Source organism: Homo sapiens, chromosome 14, assembly GCF_000001405.40.
Source record: "Homo sapiens chromosome 14, GRCh38.p14 Primary Assembly".
Lineage (NCBI taxonomy): Eukaryota > Metazoa > Chordata > Mammalia > Primates > Hominidae > Homo > Homo sapiens.
In genome coordinates, this window is record NC_000014.9 from 96,310,751 (window position 1) to 96,331,010 (window position 20,260).

The window sequence follows — 20,260 nt, forward strand, 5'->3', positions numbered from 1 at the left end:
GTAACAATACTAACACCTGCCATCTATCTTTTCATAGCATTTTTACATACAACTTGCATAGAACAAGCTTTTGCATGATAAATGTTTTCTTTCTTCCCTTAGGACAGATGAAAATAACAAGTCTAGAAAAAAAAAAGTATGATGTTTGCTAGGAAGATTAATGGAAACAAAGAATATCAAAACAGCAGAATGGTTTTCCAAAAAGGCCCATGAAACCACCGTTTCAGACCCCATTATTCTGAAGGTAAAGAACAGATGAATGACTTTCAAAGTTTCTTTTCTACCTTATGACTGTCATGAAGACCTCAATAATGTAAACATGTCACGACATGGCAGGGACTGGAGGAATCACATTGCTGACTGTACCTTAGACCTTCTTTGAAAGGCTCCAGGCTTCATATCTGCCTTGTTAGGTGTCTGCAAGTCACCATAGCTTGCAATGTACTGAATGAGATTCATTAACGCAGCACAAGAGTCTGAGCACGTTCTGATATGGACAACATCGCTGGAACAGTGTAACTCAAAGCGGGGCTCAGTCTGGACAAGACACAGAAAAAGGGATGAAAATGTTTTCCAAATGAGACAAAAGTTTCTTTTTTTGCATAGATTTACATTAAATAAGATTCATGATAATCTGTCTCGCTACATAAAAAAAGTATTTAAATAAATCCATTTTTAATATACTTACTCTATTTCTGACCAAAATTAGGTACACGGAAAAATGTTAAACTCAATTTTTTTAATCTCTTAAAAAATAGAACTTAAAATTTTCATTTATTTTAATAACTCACTTGCTCTCCATCAGAATCAGACTTCACTGCAGTTATGGTTAACTCCAAAAGCCCCATATCCATCACACGAACATAATCTAAAATTTTTAAAATTAAGAAAATCTCTTCAGTACAGCTTTCAAAAATGTGTATCCAACCAACACCCAATACAACTAGCATTCCTTTAAAATTCATTGCAGAGAGCACTACAAATAATTATAATGCAATGAAAATAGTTTCATCCCATAGAAGTCCTAAAATTCACTTTATTTTTTGTTAGAAACAAAAATTATCTTAAATAAAAATTTGTAGTATATATAGTAATTTGATGTACTTAACTAGCATTATAAGAACATTACAATTTCAAACTGAAAAACCAGTATCTGAAAAATGAAGCTGTGAATATATACCACATGATCACTATATACTTAAAGACCCTTTAATCTTTAAGGATCTTTAATAAGATTCTTAGTTCACTAGCATTATCCCAGAGTTAAAATGCTTTAAAATTATTTACGCACAAAAATAAAGCAGAATTTATCTACTCCATTTGTTTTTTAACTCTTACCTCTACTCAGATTTATAGTGACAGTATTGCATTTGTCAGATAGATGTAAAGCAGCTTCATCCAAGATTATTCTGAGGCAAGAAAGATAAAACCAACATCTGAAAAACTAAGCTTTGAGTATCATACCCCATAATCACTATATGCTTAATTGCATCATTCTTTCTGGTATGAACATTGTTGAAATCATAAGCAGTTTCTAACTTATAACTGTCATCTAACATTTTTTAAAAACTGTTTATGAATGCTAGGAATATTTAAATGGTGTAAAGAATTAGATTAAATCATCTACTCAAATTAATTCTAAATTTTTGGCAGTTTTTAAAGAGATGCCCAAATTCACAAGGTTTAAACTATAGTATAAAGATAGAGTGGGCCAGATGTAGTGGCTCACACCTGTAATCCCAGCCGTTTGGGAGGACAAGGCAGGAGGACCACCTGAGGCCAGGAGTTCTCAACTAGCCTGGGCAACACAGCAAGACCCCTTCTCTACAAAAACAAAACTTTTTTTTTAATCAGCCAGGGATAGAGGCACACGTCTATAGTCCTAGCTACTCAGTAGGGTGAGGGCAAAAGATCACTTGGGCTCAGGAGTTGAAAGCTGTAATAAGCTGTGATCATGCCACTGCATTCCAGCCTGGGCCACACAGAGCAAGACCCTGTCTCTAAAAAATAAAAAAATTAAATAAAAAGTATAAAGTGTATCAGGTAGCATGGGAAGTTTACCATATGTTTTAAAATGCAAACTTTTTAAAGAATCTCCAGAATTAATTTCTTCCCTAAAAATGAAATGCAATAATAAATGGGTAGATGAAACATGTCACCTGAGAAAAATTGGGTAATTTGGGTAAAAGGTTATAACTATTAGTAAAAGAACGTTTAACAAAAAATTGAGACTTTAATAAAATGGTTTAGGTAAATATCAATTGGTATGTTTCGAACAGCTTTGTTTAGTATACAATGAAGTTTACACAGGTACCTGAGAGTAGAGGAAGATTTATCCAATGCAACGCTACTGGAAACACTGAATGTTTCCACGGTAAGAAGAGATCGGATTGGCAAATAAAGGGGTCTAATGCCAAAGAGAAACAAAAGAACATCAGTTTGATACGGCTCCAGAAACTCTATTAAAAACAACAACAACAACAACAATTTGAACCTTAACTCTACTGAATTATGTATTTTTTTCAAAATTTAGTAGCATTTTAAATAAAACTTTATTTTGTTCCATTTGTGAACTTACCTATAATCAAGTGCACAGCTCCAAAGATGAACATGAAAAGTTGTAAATGAAGTTGGAGGATTATATCCCAAAACAGGTTCATCAGCAATATTCAAGAAGTATAAAATCTATAATCACAAAAAATTAAAACGCCCTGCTTTAGAAGAAAAAAAAGGTTTCATATAATATCCTTAATACCAATGTAAACCAGAATATCTCACAGAAAAAATCATTTAATTGGAAAATCATAACGGTAAAAGGAAAAAAATCATCATTTTGAAGGAATTAGTTTCAAAAAGTACTTGCATCAGAAAAGAAGGTAATGGATACTGATGGATGTGTTCGTTTGACTACAATAGGCATTTTACTATGCATATCAAGACATGTTATTCACCTTATATATAATAAAAATAAATTTTTTAAAAGTATTTGCAAAATTAGAATTTGAAATGCAGAAGCCTATCCAACAACTCCAATGCTACAGAAATCTTAGAAAATCACACCTTATGAAATTAATAACAATGTATGCATAATATAATTTCATATTTTTTGGCTTGGAACAATTCTCAGAAAAAATAAATTTTGCTAAAGACTGCTTAAAACTATCAATCTGGCTTCTTATATAACTCATTGTGTGCAGGGGCGATTGGTTTTTCATATAAGTCATTGTTGAAGGAAGCTCTTTTTCCTTAATGTATACCTAGCTCAGTCTAAAAACCAGTCCCTCTCACCAACATCTATTCTTTCATATTTCTAATCCAAACAAATAAGGAGGTTCTGCTAAATGTCTCCCTTCCAGCTGGTTATTCACCCTAACCACTTCTCTACTCCTACCAGATAGAAAGTCAGACAGATATTCTCATGTTTCCTAAATGCTTTCATGAGAAAAGAATTTTGAAAACACTCAAGTTTTTAAATAATGTATTATTTTCCCAGCACAATTAAGAAGTTCTCCTTTATAAGAAACATGAGAAGCAATCATAGTGCACTAGTTTTCATTCTCACATAAGGAAAAGCTAACTTCTTACTCAAAGTCTCCTCTGAAAAATAACCAATTGTATTTTATTACCATAAAAAGTTGTTGAACTGGAAATTAATGAGAGAAATCCTGATAAAATGCTTTAAAGCAACATCATATTATTGGCCTAGGGAATTATATGGAAATATTGCACTTAAAGAACTTCTGATTATAAAAGCAATTCAACACACCATTCACTGCTCCTCTACGCCAGACATTCTACAAGTCCTGGGATACAGAGTCCCTTCCCTTCCTTTAATGACATATAAGATAACTCTGTCATTGAGAGGTTTTGAGGACCACACTTTAAGGTAAAAAACCAATTACATTCTGAGGTGATAATACTGTTTTGTTTTGTTTTGTTTTGTTTTGTTTTGTTTTGTTTTGTTTTTTGAGACAGAGCTTCGCTCTTGTCGCCAGACTGGAGTGCAGTGGCACGATCTCAGCTCACTGCAACCTCCGCCTCCCGGGTTCAAGCGATTCTCCTGCCTCAGCCTCTCCAGTAGCTGGGATTACAGGTGCATTCCACCACGCCCAGCTAATTTTTGTATTTTTAGTAGAGACGGGATTGACCAAGCTGGGCTCGAACTCCTGACCTCAGGTGATCCACCTGCCTTGGCTTCCCAAAGTGCTGGGATTACAGGCATGAGCCACCGTGCCCGGCCAATACTGTTCTATTTCTTAACCTAAAAGGTGGTGACACCGTAGTATTCACTTAATGATAATTCACTGAGCTGAACATTTATGACTTACAAACTTTTCAGTATGTGTATTAGATGTCAACACAAATTTTTAAATAAATTAATACATATATAACAGCTCTCTTACCTGCTCATGCCAGCTAAGCCCAGAAGGAAGCATTCTATGCTGGAGAGTGGCTCCTTTCAGTCCTACGGCAATGAGAAATTCCTATACAGAACAAGACAAAGAATGACATTTACCACCTATGTAATCCTATAACTCAAAAGTTTTTCCAAGAAAATAAATATGTTGCCTTTTATGTAATTATTTTTAGCTAGAATCAAATCAACAGTGGCATAAAAGTACAAAACACAAACCTTTGTATTGGACTCTGATTTATCAGACAATATTTTAACGGCAACAGACAGCATATTCAAACTGTCTCCTCCAACTCCATCTGAAGAAGTTTTACTGAGGCCATCTTCTTCAGAGGAATAAATAGTAGGTTCCAACCAGTGTGGGCGGGTTGAGCTGGGAAGTCGTGTTTCTGTCGGGAGAATCACTCCATTCACTATGCCTAGAGATCCACATTGAGGTAAAAATAGTAACAAAATGATTACTTGAAATTAGCTAATCAACTTACATGACTCAAAACAAAAATCCACGTACTTCCACTGAATATAACTTAAGGAGGCATGATGACAAAAACCAGCATGGCATTAATAATCCACTCCTCTTTGCTAATGTTAGTGTGACTGACCGTACACAGCTTAAAGAAACAAAAGATTCTGAAATGCTAGGAAAATTAAATAGAAAACTATCACAAACATCTCATGTCTATGAAACAAGGTAAACTCAGGTAACTGCTCAAAAAATGGTAGGTTCTATATCTGGAACCAAAAGGAAATATTCCTTAAAGAAGAATAAAGAACATATAGTCCCATCGACTGATGAATGGATACATAAGATGTGATCTATCTTTACAGTGGAATATTATTTGGCAATAAAAAGGAATGAAGTACAGATACAACTTGGATGAACTTTGAAAGCGTGTCAAATGAAAGAAGCCAGTCAAAAAGGCCAAATATTGTATGATTCCATTTATAAGAAACTTCTGAATATGCAAATCCATAGAAACAGAGTGTAGGTTAGTGTGTTTACGGGAAGGAGAGAGCGGAAGGGGTGAAAGTTTATCACTAAAGTGTATGAAATTTCTTCATGGGGTAATAAACATGTTTTAAAATTGACTATGGTGACGGTTGCATAACTCTTGTGAAATACTAAAAACCACTGAAAGGTACACTTTAAATGAGTATGGTGTGTGAATTATACCTCAACAAAGCTATTGCAAAAAAAGAACCTGAAGTTGACTTCTAATTTGTAAATATTACTTTGACAGCAGAATGAGAGCCCTCCACAGAAAATAATTTCTAATACCAAAGTTCTGTTCTCAATAGATTTTCTTTGTTAAACAAGAAATTTAAACATGTCTAAAGAGAAGAAACCAAGACACGTGTTTGTCCTACCTTTATGGTACAGACTGAAACTGCTAGAATGAAGGCAAATGTAGTGCTTGTCATCAAAACCTTCATATTTTGTCACACAAAATAATGAACCACTATTGAACTCTAACCAGAATTCACCATGCTTGTTTTCCAACAGATCTCCATTATCTTGCTAGTAAAAAGATCAGAAAAACACAGAAGTTATTACTTAAATGCAGAAAAGTAAGCATGTTCCTTGAGATGCTCTTTGTTGATTCAGCTTAGGAAAATCTCCCATACTGCAGCAAAGCAGTCTAATCCTTGAACTATTCAATATCATGGTATAAAATAAAACTGGATAACTTAAATGCTATGTGGAACCTCTTCTATCAGATGAATCTCTGTACTTTGTTGTCACCCCAGAAGCAGAATTAGCACCTGTTTTCCAAAGGGAGAGCCCCACAAAGTTTGATCTGCAACGAAAGCTAAATCCCCAAAGTTGCTATCATCATGGTTTGCCCCAGGACACTGGTCTTCATCAGTCCCTGAAACAACTTCAAAATATCAAATACTTCAATCACTAGATATGTATCCTAGCAGATTTATTTAAAGTAAGATACATTTGAAAAAACACTTCGGATTTGTAAACCTCACCTTCACATCTGTGAACACTGCTATTAATCCATGATTAATATTCAGAAGAACTGAGAGAAAACTCTGAGAGTTCTTGTTCTGAGAGTCTAATTTTTTTTTCCTGCGAGAACGATAGTTGGGATCAACAGTGGAAAAATACTGCAAAGTCTCCTCCTCAGATCCACTTTCCTCATCTATGAGAAATAAACATACAATTACATTCTGATAGCATATTAAAACAGCAACATAAAAATGATCATGAAAATATTTTATATAACCTGCTTAGTTTTACAAAGAATATGGTGTGAACACAGAAATACATACTGTTTTTCTCTTTAGCTTTGAACTTCAAACAATGTGCACACTATCATTCTAAAGAGAACATATTTAAGTGATAATGATATTCTCAATATACAGATAGAAATAAGGAAATATTCTTATAAATTACTAAAAGAAATTGCAAAATATAGTTACAATGAAACATAAAGATTTTTAAATCCACAATTCAAAGGTTAGTACTTTGTTAATTGATAAACTAGGCATTTTAAATCAAAACAAATTAAAAATATATTACCATAGTGAACTGCAGATTTAAATGCACTAAAACTATCTTTGTTGAAAGTATTAATGAGCTGACTGGCTACTGAAAGCCCAATGCCATAGGAAATATTCTCGAATGTCTCCACTGGTGAAGGAGCTGTTGGTTCCCACAGTAGCAAGTCATTAAAGATCCTATAAAGACAAAAGTTGAAAAATAAGTACTTAACTCCTAGTTCAACAGAAGGCAAACTTAAAAAAAAATCCTTTTAAAAGATCGTATGAACAATAATTTTTTAAACGGCAAAATGGAAATTAGATCCTACAAGAATTTGGAAAAACAACAAAAATAACAACTGCATTCTTTCAATGAAAAAATAACTGATATGGCTATAATGCAGGGCAGTGACAAAAGAATCTGCACAATTAGATACCTAAATAGATACTTGCCTAATTTTACCTATGTTATATACATCAAATTACAAATTCATATTACATTTCAAAATATACCTTAGAAACAGAAGCTCATGAAAAATAAAAACCCACAAAGAACAGAAAAGGAGGACGGCTCACCTATATGAGAGCACTTTGTAAACTGGAACTGATCCTGCATCATCTCACTGACCCTCCCCTCAGTCCTGTGGGGTGTCCAGGGCAGAATCATTATTCTCACTTTACACCTGAAGAAACTGTCTCATAAAGGTTATGTGACCTTCCCAAAGTCACATGGCTAATTAGTGGAAAAATGGGGATGAAAGTCCAGATTATGTAGATTACATCCAGCTCCCAATTCAGTTCTTTTTTTAAGGCAAGTATTTATCTGTGGGATCAATTCAGTTCTTTCCCTAGAAATACCTGATTTTTCTCTCATCAGCAACAGAAAGCACAGCTTCACTGGGAAGACTTCATGAGATGAAGAATGCATATGGAGCAAAAAATAAGGAGAGAAAAACCCTTATGACTAGCGAGACTAGCCCAATCAATACTGGCAACCAATGGGAAGGCATATGTCATACCTAGGCTGTCACCACATCCTACTTTTTCAAAGAACTACCTGTCACTGCTCAGATGCCCCTGTCCTAGCCTCCTCCCCTCATCCATCCTCGAAGTTTTCAAGAAAACTCAAACTTCACCACGTCTTCTAGTAAACCCATCGTAAGATCTGGACCCACAGCATATGCTTCACACAGACCCACTTAAATCACAGCACCTACAGCACCCTCCTGAATTTTCTCGTTTCCCCTTTTTAGACTGCAAGCCGCCCAAGAGAGGGACTTGTGTCGATCATCTCTACATGTGCCTAGCACAGTGGCTGTCACATAACAGGCACGGACAGTTGGTGAGGACAGTGAATGATTCACATGGAAGTGCTGCCAAAACCCAGACTCATCGTAAAGCCTGGTGTGAATACCGGTCAAGGCGCCGCGTGGTGAGGCAGCCCTGCCCCCTTCTGTGAGAAGCCACTGCCAGGACAATTCTTGAGCTTCTGAAGTCCTAGAAGGTGTACACCAGGACTGAGGATTGTGACTCTCAGGAGATTATAATCCACTCACCTATTATGTTCTCCTTATTTATATTTTGGTCTAAACACAGTCTTGATACCATTAGTACTATCGAATATTGGATGGTGCTTGTAGTATCAAGAAATATCAAGAAAGAAAACAATGCTTAAGATACATAAGGACATATCACCATGACTCTGTGTCTATGAGGCTGAAACAAAATAGATGCTCAGTACATATTTAATGAAAGCAATTAGAATTCTTTTTTATATTCTATTTTAAACAATTTTCGACACAGAAAACATTCTCCTGTACCTAAAACCATACTGCTAAAAACAGCCTGTTGACCAAGGCACTAAAGGAGTAAATCAACATTTTAAATATATAAAGGCAGAGTTGGTTATAACTCCTGCTCAGAAAAAAAAATGAAAAATAAAAGGATAGTATTGACATATTAAGTAAAACTTGAATGGGGTATGAGGATTATATGGTAGTACGTATCCAGTTTAGCTTCCTGCTTCTGAGAGCTGAATTACCAGTTAATGTAGAATGTCCTTGTATGTGGGAAATATGCATTCAAGTACTAAACATTGAAGGGACTCAGGTCAGCAACTTACTCTCAGATGGTTAGGGCACGGGGAGTTCTTCGTACTGTAAAGCAAATCTTCTCTGAGAATGTTTGAAAATTATTTAAACAGTATTAATTTGAAAATACAAAGCCGGATAAGGGGCAAAGGATGCAAACCCTGAGGAAGTTAGATATGAGATTTATATGATCCCAGAAAGTGAGGGAGCGCTTCAGTATTTATGCAATTCTAGGGGCCTGAGAGACCAAAAAGTGGTTAGTGGAAGGTATTTAATAGAATAGAAACTCTCTTAAGCAATCCATTAAACCAACTATCCAGATTAACAGATACATACTCTAATACACGATTCTAATACATACTCCCTGACTTAAGCAGTCAGCTACCCAATTACCCCCAAGTGCCACAACAACGGAAGCCCCCAATATGCTAACTGCCTGCTGTTGGTGGACATCTCTCTAGTAGAGCTGAGAACTGTTCCTATCAGTGGAGTTATATATTTCATATACTCGCCAAAGACCAACTGTGTCTGGCTTCAAATCTGCTTGTATTTGTTACTTTTAAGTATAGTTTAAATAAAAACTGTACCGTTTTAATTAATGCAGACTGGGGTAAAAAAAAATCTTAAAAACCTACAAAGATTCTCCTCTTACATATCTCTGAAAAAATTTTTTTCACTTCACTTTAAAGAAACTGGAACTAAAAACGGTAGACAATGCCTTCTGGGTACACTTTATGCAAAAAAAAGACAAAATAGTCAGATGCCACATGCAGGATTAAAAAAAAGGAAAGGGGGAAAAAAAGACAACATAGAATTCCAATCAGTGGCTCATATTCAAAGAAAAGGCCTTGTCCTGTATTTAGAAATGAAGTGGTAAATAAATATACATTTATAAAGTGAATGTTTAAGGTATGTATTACTGTTCTTGATGCCCTGATTTAATCAAAAGCAATCTGCTCAGTCAATGCAGAATGAGAAAAAAATAGGTCAAGTGTTTTTGATCTCTGGGCTAGGCCTTGAAAGAGTCATTTCATTTCCCTCAATCTCAGCCTTGCACATACATCAGCTCTTTGCGGACACCCCTGAACTATGAAATAAAAGGAGGAGCCTAGAGATCAGTCATTTTGAAACTGTAGATCATATATAAACAAACCCCAACATTTAAAACCAATTTGAAACCTCTCTAATGTGAATTGAATATACATTAGGTGCTATTTATAATGTATATTATAAAACAAATATAAAAATATAAATTTTAAAAGATTATTTTTAAAGTTAAACGTAAGTGATAACATTTTCTTCCTATACCAGAGTGGACTGTTCTCTGAATCTCATTTTCAAGACCACTGAAGTAATGTGAACCCTAGAAGAATCCTGGAACTTAATTTTCTGATTCTAAGAGCAAAAGTCAATAGCACCCAGTGAGAAAACCCAGGGTTTATTACTAACATTTAAGGAATAAATACCGAGTGGTATCTGATACCAAGTAAACCTACAGCAGAAACAACAGTCTGAAGTTTCTGAAGATTAATGGAAACTAGAATAACTTGTCTACATGTAGGAAGCTAGTGATGACAAACACTAAGGACTTCTTTTTCTAGAAACCCACATGACAATCTTTCAGGTATGCTACGGAGAAATCCCTTCAGTGGGTAGGAATTATAACAGACAACCACTAAGTTCTTACGATATGCCATACACTATTCTCAGAACTCTCCAAGTGTTATATCATTTAATCCTCCAAACAACCCTTATAGGTGGGAGCCAGGATCATCTCCATTTTACAGAAGAGGATGCTGAGTCTTACAGAGGCTAGATAAACTGCTCAAGGCCTTCAGAGTCTATGACCTAGAATTCCATTAGTATCAAAATACCTGCCTGGCATAAATATTGAGGGGTATCTAAATATAATAAATTTAAATTTTGTACACGTTCACAGAATTTTGAATTCCAACAAGATATCTTTTTGAATGCTGAAGAAAAGATGCTTCTTGTACAATGAATGGGGTTCTGATTCTACTCCAGCATTGGCTAGCTGTATTAGCATCTCTTAACTCTTCACGTCACTGCACATAAAGAAAAAAATTGTATTTGATCGGTAACCTGCAGTAAGCTGACAGAGGGCAATCAGCCAACCTCAGGGCTGAGGAAATAAATATCTCACACACCCGGCACCACGCTAGTTAGGAAACTCTGCTATGACAATAGCACATCATAACGGCAATAGTCACCATCAACACCACACAAAGTACACAGAGATGGCATATAATATTCAGGCAAGGAAAGGAAAGGGGGAAGAGGAAAATCAGGGAGGCAATTAGAAAATCTGATTCCAAAGATTCAACTAAATGTGTATAAACTCACCTATTATAAAGCTTCTCATAAAAGCTCTTATTAGGTAGTGTTACATAAATATTTGGTAACGTAAGTTCCAGCACATAGTGAGAATTGCTGATTGCTTTATCCTGAAATTCTGTCATTTCTACAGGGTCTCCTGGCATCACCATCTAAAACATAATAGTTCAGTGCAAAAAAAAAGGCATCCATGTTTAAAATAGTAGTAGCATCTTCTTAGCCTATCCATAGGACTTGGTATGTGAGAAATAAATAAGCATGAAACATTTAACTAGAGAAAATATACACCAAGAAAAAATAGGTATTATTCAATTTTGAAGTTTAAGACCTAGCAAAAACAGTACACAAGGCATTTTTTTAAAAATAAAAAATCAAAAGCATTGCTCTATGACAGAGAATAATAGTATTATTCCTTTGTAGCTTGCTCACACTTTTACCTGTTCATTTTCAAACATTACTCTACGAGAAGAAAAAGGAGATGGGGCTGGTCTTCTTAGATCACAAACATCTTTCAAGGAATGAGCACCTCCTTCCTCTTCCTCCTGGTAGTGACCATCATTCTCCTCTTCTTCTTCAGCTGCAATTCTCTCCAAAATGGAATGCATGGCTGGTGGATTTATTTTCAGTACAATTCTGATAGCAAAGACAATTTTAAAAAGACCAAGATCTAAGTGTAAACAGCAAAACTTTAACTTTTGTGCAAATTAATACACACACCACTGGTTAAATCTTAATGATAGAATTAAACTTCTCTACAAAGTCTAATTATGTCTAAGGTAACCCACTTATGAACATGTTGTAAACTTACAAGTGTGGAACTGAAACAAGTAAGTAACAGAAAGACATAAACATTTTATACTTGGGTAACTGAAGGGGGCAAAAAGGTTATTTTTAAATTTCATTAAAAGTCAGCAAACTTTACCTAAGGATTCTAGTTATCATTAAACCAAATCTTCTCACATATAGTCTGTTCTGCTATAATAAATTACTTGTCTACCTAAGAAACCTCATGTTATATCAACCTCATATTATATCAGTTGTTCAAAGGGAAAAGGGAGAAGCTGATTAGGAAACAGTTTCAAAACTCTAACAACAAAGTTATGTTTTCATCTAGTAATTTCAATAATAAAGGGCTGGTGCTGTTTCTGTTTTATAACCACAAAACCTAAAGATCACTGAGTTAATGCAGCCTATGACTACAAAAACTAATGAGCTTTTTACTCCAGAGTAATCCCTTTCCTAAGCTTCTACAGAACATCTCTAGCACAGACTTTTCATTCTCCTTTGATTACCACATCCACCCATTGTTATAAGGAGGCATGGAACCCTCAAAGAGAATAGCTGTGCTGCAACTGCAACTCTTATTCCCTAGGTAGTGGTGTTATTTGGTTTGTAAATGATCACAGGCTTTTTTCCTAATTGATACATATCCTAATATAAATTGTGCTTCTGAATTATTTAACCGAAGTAGATCCAGTCCTTATGAAACTTGTGCTCTAAACTCATGCTTATTACCAGGTGTGTATGAGCAACATCTGTCCTAAGAATCTAATCGGTCTAATAGACAGTGGAGAGGAGGAGTAAAGCAAGGCAGGCAGAAAAATAGCACAACAAGGTTTGAGGGTGACACATCTCACACATTCATGTGAACACCCAATCATCACGCTTATGAACCACAAAAGAATCAAGGATGGACATGTTTAGCTTATATTTAATAGACAAAATGTTGGTTTAAAAGAATATTTTATTTTTAAAAGGAAAATCCTATTAAACCTATGCATTTGCTTACTCACCGTGGCCAGTCAAAGTCATCTGACGATGTTGTATCTCCATCTACTCCACTAGACACATGGAAAAACTTAATAGATGGATCTCCTTTCTCTTCCTGGAACGATCCTAAAAAAAAAGACTGATTTACTGAAATGTGCTTCTTCTCAAGTACTAAAAGAAGAGATGGAGGAGCAAAGATCCTCTCAATCAGGAACATAATGCAACCTTAAGTTCTACAGCATTTTTCAGTTGTTCTGGTTTCATGTGCACGTGTGGTAGACAGAATGAGCCAATAAATTAAAGATTCTGTTTTGTGTTCAAACTCAAATTCTTAAGTACCAAGGTACACTGCATAAAGTACATAATGACATAGTAAATAGAGCAAGCACTTACCACTTACTAAGTGCTATTAGTGATTATTTCTTCATAAAGTCTATATAATCTACCACTAGAAAAATAACTACATTTCTTAAATATGTATTTTGTACCAAACACTGTAAGAAACACCTCTGTTCAAAATAATTCTACACGGGCTGGGCGCGGTGACTCACACCTGTAATCCCAGCATTTGGGAGGCTGAGGCAGGCGGATCACCTGAGGTCAGGAGTTAAGAGACCAGCCTCTCCAACATGGAAAAAACCCGTCTCTACTAAAAAATACAAAAATTAGCTGGGTGTGGTGACATCCAACTGAGGCACGAGAATCGCTTGAAGCCAGGAGATGAAGATTGCAGTGAGCCAAGATCATGCCACTGCACTCCAGCCTGGGCAACAAAGCAAGACTCTGTCTGAAAAACAAAAACAACAACAACAAAAATTCTATACGTGTTTTTTCAATCCATTTTACAAATGAAAAATGGCTTTCCTCCAGAATAATGAGTTTCTCACCACTGGAGATAAGGGATGATCTCACAACACCTGAAGGCCCTTTCATGAAGTCATAATTGACAACAATCAATTTTAAATACCTCTTAAGATACGTAAAACCGAGAGAGAAAAGAAGGGGAACTTTTGCAAACTATTCTCATGAGGGGTGGGAGTGTGGTTGCGGAGAGAGGGTGTCGTGGCAGAGGCAGGTGGTCTAGGAACCACAGGATAAAAGGTTTTCCAGGTCTTCATAGACTTGGTTCACTTTAAAGTTTTTATAAATTCCCTTCATTAACTGACAAAAACAAAGTAATGCAGAAAAAATCAAAACGAGTTTTACAAATAAAAGTCACTAGCGATTAGTTAGTGTAATGGTTGAAAGCTCAAGCTCCACTGTCAGACTTGGGTTCAAATCTTGATTCTGCCATTGACTACAACATGATCTTGGTAGATACTTCCTTCTAGGTCCACAGATGGTCTCATCTATTAAATTATAAAAATAACTGGAAAAATAAACATATGGTGATTATGATGACTAAAAAAACAAGAAAATGTGTATCAAGTGCTTAGCATAATATTTAACATACAGTGGCACTTAACAAGTTCTATTATCAGTCCTACAATAAATAAACGAGAGGTGGTAATAAAAATGTAGGCTAAAGTACTACACTCTCCTGCAGTAAACAGGAATTTTAACAAAGTGAATGAATCATCATCCTTAGTTTTTAAAAAATTACCTATATCACATATTTGCATACAATACTAGAAAGACATTGTTGCTGTTGATTTTAACATAATGTTCTTTAATTGTACTATATTGCAGGGCTGTCAGATACTTTTGTGATGTTAAGTTTCAGTAGCAGTTGTTTGTTATCTAGGATGGTTCTTTTACAGGCACATTCAATCTTACCAATTAGTTCTCTAAAGGTAAGTTCCAATTTAATTTGTTCTGGGGTTGATCCTCCTATAAATTCAGTCTTAAATTCTAGATCTGTGAAGGCTAAATAAAGGATCTCCTTCTGAAGTGACTTCTTAAACCATGGTCCTCTTTCTTGATCAGATCGAAGATCAGGTATTGGGAAGCGAACAGAAAGGTTTAATGCTGGTGTGGCAACTTGTACTGATATCCGACAATTTGCAGGACTATGTGAATCATCTAGAAACACTTCAGTGAAAGCCTTGTGCTAAAACACAAAACATCAAAAATATGCCAAAATATTAAAGTAAATGAACATAAATTACACAGTATTCAACATTACAATATGTATAATCACTATCTCCCCATTTGGTATAATGCATTAAAAGTCAATTCAAATTAACCACTACCATATTAATTTAGTGTAAAAAAATTTTATAATGCAACAACTATTAGCAAAAGTGAAAACTATTGGCAAAAGTTAAACTCTGAAATAAAAAATTAAATTAAAAACTGAGCCAAAGTGAAGACAAAGGCACTATATATTAATATTTATCTTACTATAAATTTATAAAGAATACGGTGTAAATTAGCCTACCAACAAATTCAATACGGTTAAAAATCACTGTAGTGTCCAACATTCAGTTTGAAAGACTTTTCTACCAATATATGATTTTAAATACTCAATGTGAAATCAGATGAATTATGCCAAATACAATCGCTGACTCAACTTTGTACTTCTAAGATAAAACCCAGAGGCTGGCACATCACAGGTTCTAAATAAATATTCACTAAATGACGCACTCTGAGCTCCTATCCAATCCAAGGGTATGATCTCATCAAATGGTTCTATGAGACCAAGATATATGCACCATTTTACCCAAAGCCATCTTACAATAAAAGGGTCAAAGAACATCCCATTCAAATAGAAATCTATTTCTATTTTTTCTCTAAAATATATTGAAACTAAAAAAGCTTTATTCCACTCTACGTTGTAACACTCCTCAGTTTCTTCAATCAATTTCTAACCTCCATGATTTGAAAACTCCCTGCATATGCTAGACTTACAATTTTTGTGTTTGTTTTTTTCGAAACAGGTCTTGCTGTATCACCCAGGCTGGTCTCAAACTCCTGGGCTCAAGCAATCCTCCTGCTTCAGCCTCCTGAGTTGCTGGGACTATGGGTGCAAGCCACCACACCCATCCAGACTTGGATTTTTAACAAATCTATTCTAACTCTCCCCATTTGATTTGCTAATATTTAACCACCACTCTCAGGCAAAAATAACCCAACAGATTAAACCATCATCCAATTGCATATATAGTTACAGCTAATATACAGACTACCCCACAGAAACTAAAATAACTAGCAATTGATAACAATAACAAAGAATGCCCAGCCTGGGAAACATAGGGAGACAAAATATAAAAACTTAACCGGGTGTGGTGGCACATGCATGTAGCCCCAACTATTTGGGGGGCTGAGGTAGAAGGATCGCTTAAGCCAAGGGGGTCAAGACTGAAGTGAGCTGATACCGTATGACAGCACTGCGGTCTGGGCAACAGATGTCTGTCTCAATAATAATAATAATAATAATAATAATAATAATAAACAATGCTAATTTGATGTGAATACTCAATACTAAGAGAAAAGCAAAGAAGTAGAAAAATAAAATATCTTTTTCCTTTTCTTTTTAACTAAGGTTGTCTCCATCTGATCCTGGTCCTCTGGCCCCAAAATTCCTAACAGACTTCTTGCAAACTTGACTGATTTAATTTGCTTAGAAAAGACCCCAGGCACCAGATGCAAGTAAAAGTGATATAATGTGATGTTCAATAGATTATTTTCAAAAGTATATCCCATATTGTTTGGGCTTCATGTTTTAGGTAGTTCAAGTAACTTATCAAATGTATAAATAGATAAAATTTTATAAAGTCGTTATAATCACAGCTTATAAAAACTCTGATAGACATGAAAAGTAAAGGAAACCTAATTCCACTGTAATATAAACAATGCTACTGACTGGCATATTTCTCGCCATTCTTTTTCTATACATCAATTTTATTTACACAGGTGTGACAAGTTTATGTAAAGCAATATATTCTACTTTTTCATTTAATCCTTGATGAGCCTTCTTCATGTTGTTATACCATCTTCATAACCATCATTTTCTTTTTCTTTTTCTTGAGACAGAGTCTCGCTCTGTCACCCAAGCTGAAGTGCAGTGATGCGATCTAACTGCAACCTCCGCCTCCTGGGTTCAAGCTATTCTCATGCCTCAGCCTCCTGAGTAGCTGAGATTACAGGTGTGTGCCACCATGCCCAGTTAATTTTTGTATTTTTAGTAGAGACAGAGTTTCGCCATGTTGGCCAGGCTTGTCTCGAACTGGCCTCAAGTGATCCTCCCACCTCAGCCTCCTAAAGTGTTGGGATTACAGGTGTGAGCCGCCACGCCTGGCCATAACCATCATTTTAAATGACCACATAACATTTCATTCAGTGTGTCTCAAAAACTTATTTAGCTAGTCTACTATCAAGACATAAAAGATGTCTCCTTTTTTTATTATTACAAATAATGCTATTTTAATTATACTGTTTAATCTATTAAAAATACTTAAGTTCAGAAATTATCTCAATAACCCTATTAGCTAACCATAATTATGATTAGTATTTGCAGCTTTTGAATACTTACCAGACTAATATGTTTATTATATGAAGTATACATGTGGGATGCCATCATCTCTACTGTGGCAAGTTTCTGTGGTTGAAGCAAGGAATTTAACCTGTCCACAATACTGATATCCAGCTCACAACACACTGGATTTAATTTAATTTGCAATTCTGCCTTGTGAGGAACTGAACTAAGTCTTGCTTGATTACCCTTTTAAAAAAAAAAAAGAAAAGGCATTAATACAATCACTAAAAACTACTATATAATTGGGTTAAAACCTTATAATTGTGACAAAATATATATCAGATTAAAATTTACAGGTGGCAATTATAGAAAAAGATCTCTTACCTGGGGCCCTCTATTCTCAGAATGCTTATAATGAAGCTGAAGACACACAGGGGAATGGGAACCAGTTTCTTCTTTGGAATGGAACGTTAAAAGCTTAAAAGTAAAGATGAAGATAAATTAAATGTATTAATCACAAGAATTTACAGAGGTGCCCATACAATAATGAGAAAGGCTTTCTGAAGTCAGAAATCTGGTTTTAAGTTTCATTTTTGTCACTTACTAGCAATGTGAACCTTAGACAAGTTAGTTAACTCATGTGATATCTCATCTGTAAAATGTAGGCGAGGATTCAAATAAATTCATTTCCAAGAAAGTGTTTTTGAAATAAAACACTATAAAGGGTCAAAGTAACAGCAATGAACATAACTTTGACAGTTTTCTAAAGTTTCTTTAGGTCACACTTTTACATTAGGAAAAATATCAGAAAAATGGTGAATGAACACAAGACATTTAACTTGTCTTAAACAATGCTTAGCACACAGCAGGCATTCGATAATTATTTGTTCAATAATCAAATTCTTCTGAAATGAAGAGTGCTTTGAACATGAGTGAAATGAAGTCATTTCTCTCATAACCCACCTGTCACTCCTAAACAAGTCAACTCTAATTTAAAATTCTAACAGATCCTTATAACGATGTTGAGTGACATTCTTAAATATATTTCTATAGAACACAAGTGCAAAAAGAAAATGACAATATTCCTCCTATGGCTTTCTATACATTTTTAAAGAAAATCATTGCCTCATACAATCATTAAAAAGCAAGGTAGATTTAAAAAATAATCTTAAAGAAAAAGTATTCAATATTTACCTCTGTATAGTGAGGAGGAACAGAATGAAAATCAGTTGGAAATAGGCACTCCAAAAATTCCATTTGCCCAATGGACATATCAGTACTAAAATATCGGGAAGCTGATCTTTGTCTTTGTTCATAGGATACTTTAATGCCAGTACCTATAAATCTATTATAAAAAATGCACCATTTAAGATTATTAGTGTTAAAATGTAACAATTATCCACCTAGTCTGACAAGTTCAAGTTATCAATAATTAATACTCCTAAGGAAATTAACCAGAAAGATTGCTTCAAATTTCCCTTTCCTTAAGATAAAAAATCAGTTCTGTTGATGGGAAATTTTCCAGGATCTGTTTATTTCCCAACACTGCCCTTCGTCTTCCACATTTAAAAATTTACATTGCAAAGGCAAAATCTTTCAGATCTGTAAAATATATGAAATAGTCTCTTAAAATTATCTAAAAACATTATGCAATATTTCAAAAACTTTAGTCGGTGAAGCCCAAATGAGGTCTACCTATATTTTCTGCCGCTTTTGTTCTATTTTCCTACTGGCAGATGTTTGAAACTTTGTCAAAAATGGGAAAAAAAAAAAAAAAAGTCCAGGCACAGTGGCTCATGCCTGTAATCCCAGCACTTGAGGAGGACAAGGTGGGCGGATCACCTGAGGTCAGGACTTCGAGACCAGCCTGGCCAGTATGGTGAAACCCCATCTCTCTTAAAAATACAAGAAAAAAAAAGGGGGGTGGAAGAAAACAAAATGTTTTTACAGTTTGAGTATAAATACTATAATCCTAACCTGTAGAGTTTTTCTTGTATTAGGTGTAAAACTACTTTTCATATCAATTTTCATACTTTAAAAAAGTTAAAAAGATTAAATAAACGCCCAAAGTATTTTCTAAAAATACTAATATATGATATGTTTAAACCACCGTATAAGATGTCATTCAACAATTTATAGATCACTTTCACATTAAAATTGTAAAACAGAGTTTGCATGTTAACAATACTAAAGGCTGGGCGTGGTGGCTCACGCCTGTAATCCCAGCACTTTGGGAGACCGAGGCAGGTGGATCACTGGAGGGCAGGAGTTCGAGACCAGCCTGGCCAACATGGTGAAACCCCATCTCTACTAAAGATACAAAAACTAGCTGGGCATGGTGGCACATGCCTGTAATCTCAGCTACTCAGGAGGCTGAGGCTGCAGAATAGCTTGAACCTGAGAGGCAGAGGTTGCAGTGAGCCAAGATTGCGCCACTGCACTCCAGCCTGGACGATGGAGTGAGACTCTGTCTCAAAACAAAAAACAAAACAAAACAAAAAAACCAACTATATTACAAATTCAATTATCTCCTCATCTGTTAAGACTCAACCCATGAAAGGATCACTCACTGGCTATTTGGATAGCTTTGATTTTTCTTAAGCAGAAGTTGAAACGTAGCATCCAAGTTTCAGGATCAGCCTTGGTAATGTTTCCCACCCCATGGCCAGTGGCATATGGATCAGTTCCAATAGTATTATTTTATTTTTCATCACCACTGTC

At 35.2% G+C, this 20,260-nt stretch overlaps 1 protein-coding gene and 1 pseudogene across 1 annotated transcript in view; both read right to left on the bottom strand.

Moving 5' to 3' along the window:
- The window catches only part of ATG2B (autophagy related 2B), an 84,147-nt gene that overhangs the window by 31,556 nt on the left and 32,331 nt on the right, over positions 1 to 20,260 (bottom strand). Inside the window, exons 12-28 of the mRNA NM_018036.7 lie at positions 18,734 to 18,884; positions 17,924 to 18,016; positions 17,597 to 17,785; positions 14,899 to 15,172; positions 13,146 to 13,248; positions 11,790 to 11,985; positions 11,362 to 11,504; positions 6,948 to 7,105; positions 6,395 to 6,567; positions 5,783 to 5,933; positions 4,634 to 4,833; positions 4,404 to 4,484; positions 2,579 to 2,685; positions 2,315 to 2,407; positions 1,339 to 1,409; positions 792 to 868; positions 367 to 537 (exon numbers count right to left, since the gene is read on the bottom strand). Coding sequence (NP_060506.6) covers positions 367 to 537; positions 792 to 868; positions 1,339 to 1,409; positions 2,315 to 2,407; positions 2,579 to 2,685; positions 4,404 to 4,484; positions 4,634 to 4,833; positions 5,783 to 5,933; positions 6,395 to 6,567; positions 6,948 to 7,105; positions 11,362 to 11,504; positions 11,790 to 11,985; positions 13,146 to 13,248; positions 14,899 to 15,172; positions 17,597 to 17,785; positions 17,924 to 18,016; positions 18,734 to 18,884 — 2,431 coding nt within the window. The remainder of the gene's footprint in view (positions 1 to 366; positions 538 to 791; positions 869 to 1,338; positions 1,410 to 2,314; positions 2,408 to 2,578; positions 2,686 to 4,403; positions 4,485 to 4,633; positions 4,834 to 5,782; positions 5,934 to 6,394; positions 6,568 to 6,947; positions 7,106 to 11,361; positions 11,505 to 11,789; positions 11,986 to 13,145; positions 13,249 to 14,898; positions 15,173 to 17,596; positions 17,786 to 17,923; positions 18,017 to 18,733; positions 18,885 to 20,260) is intronic.
- On the bottom strand, positions 12,941 to 13,037 carry LOC124903430 (uncharacterized; annotated as a pseudogene).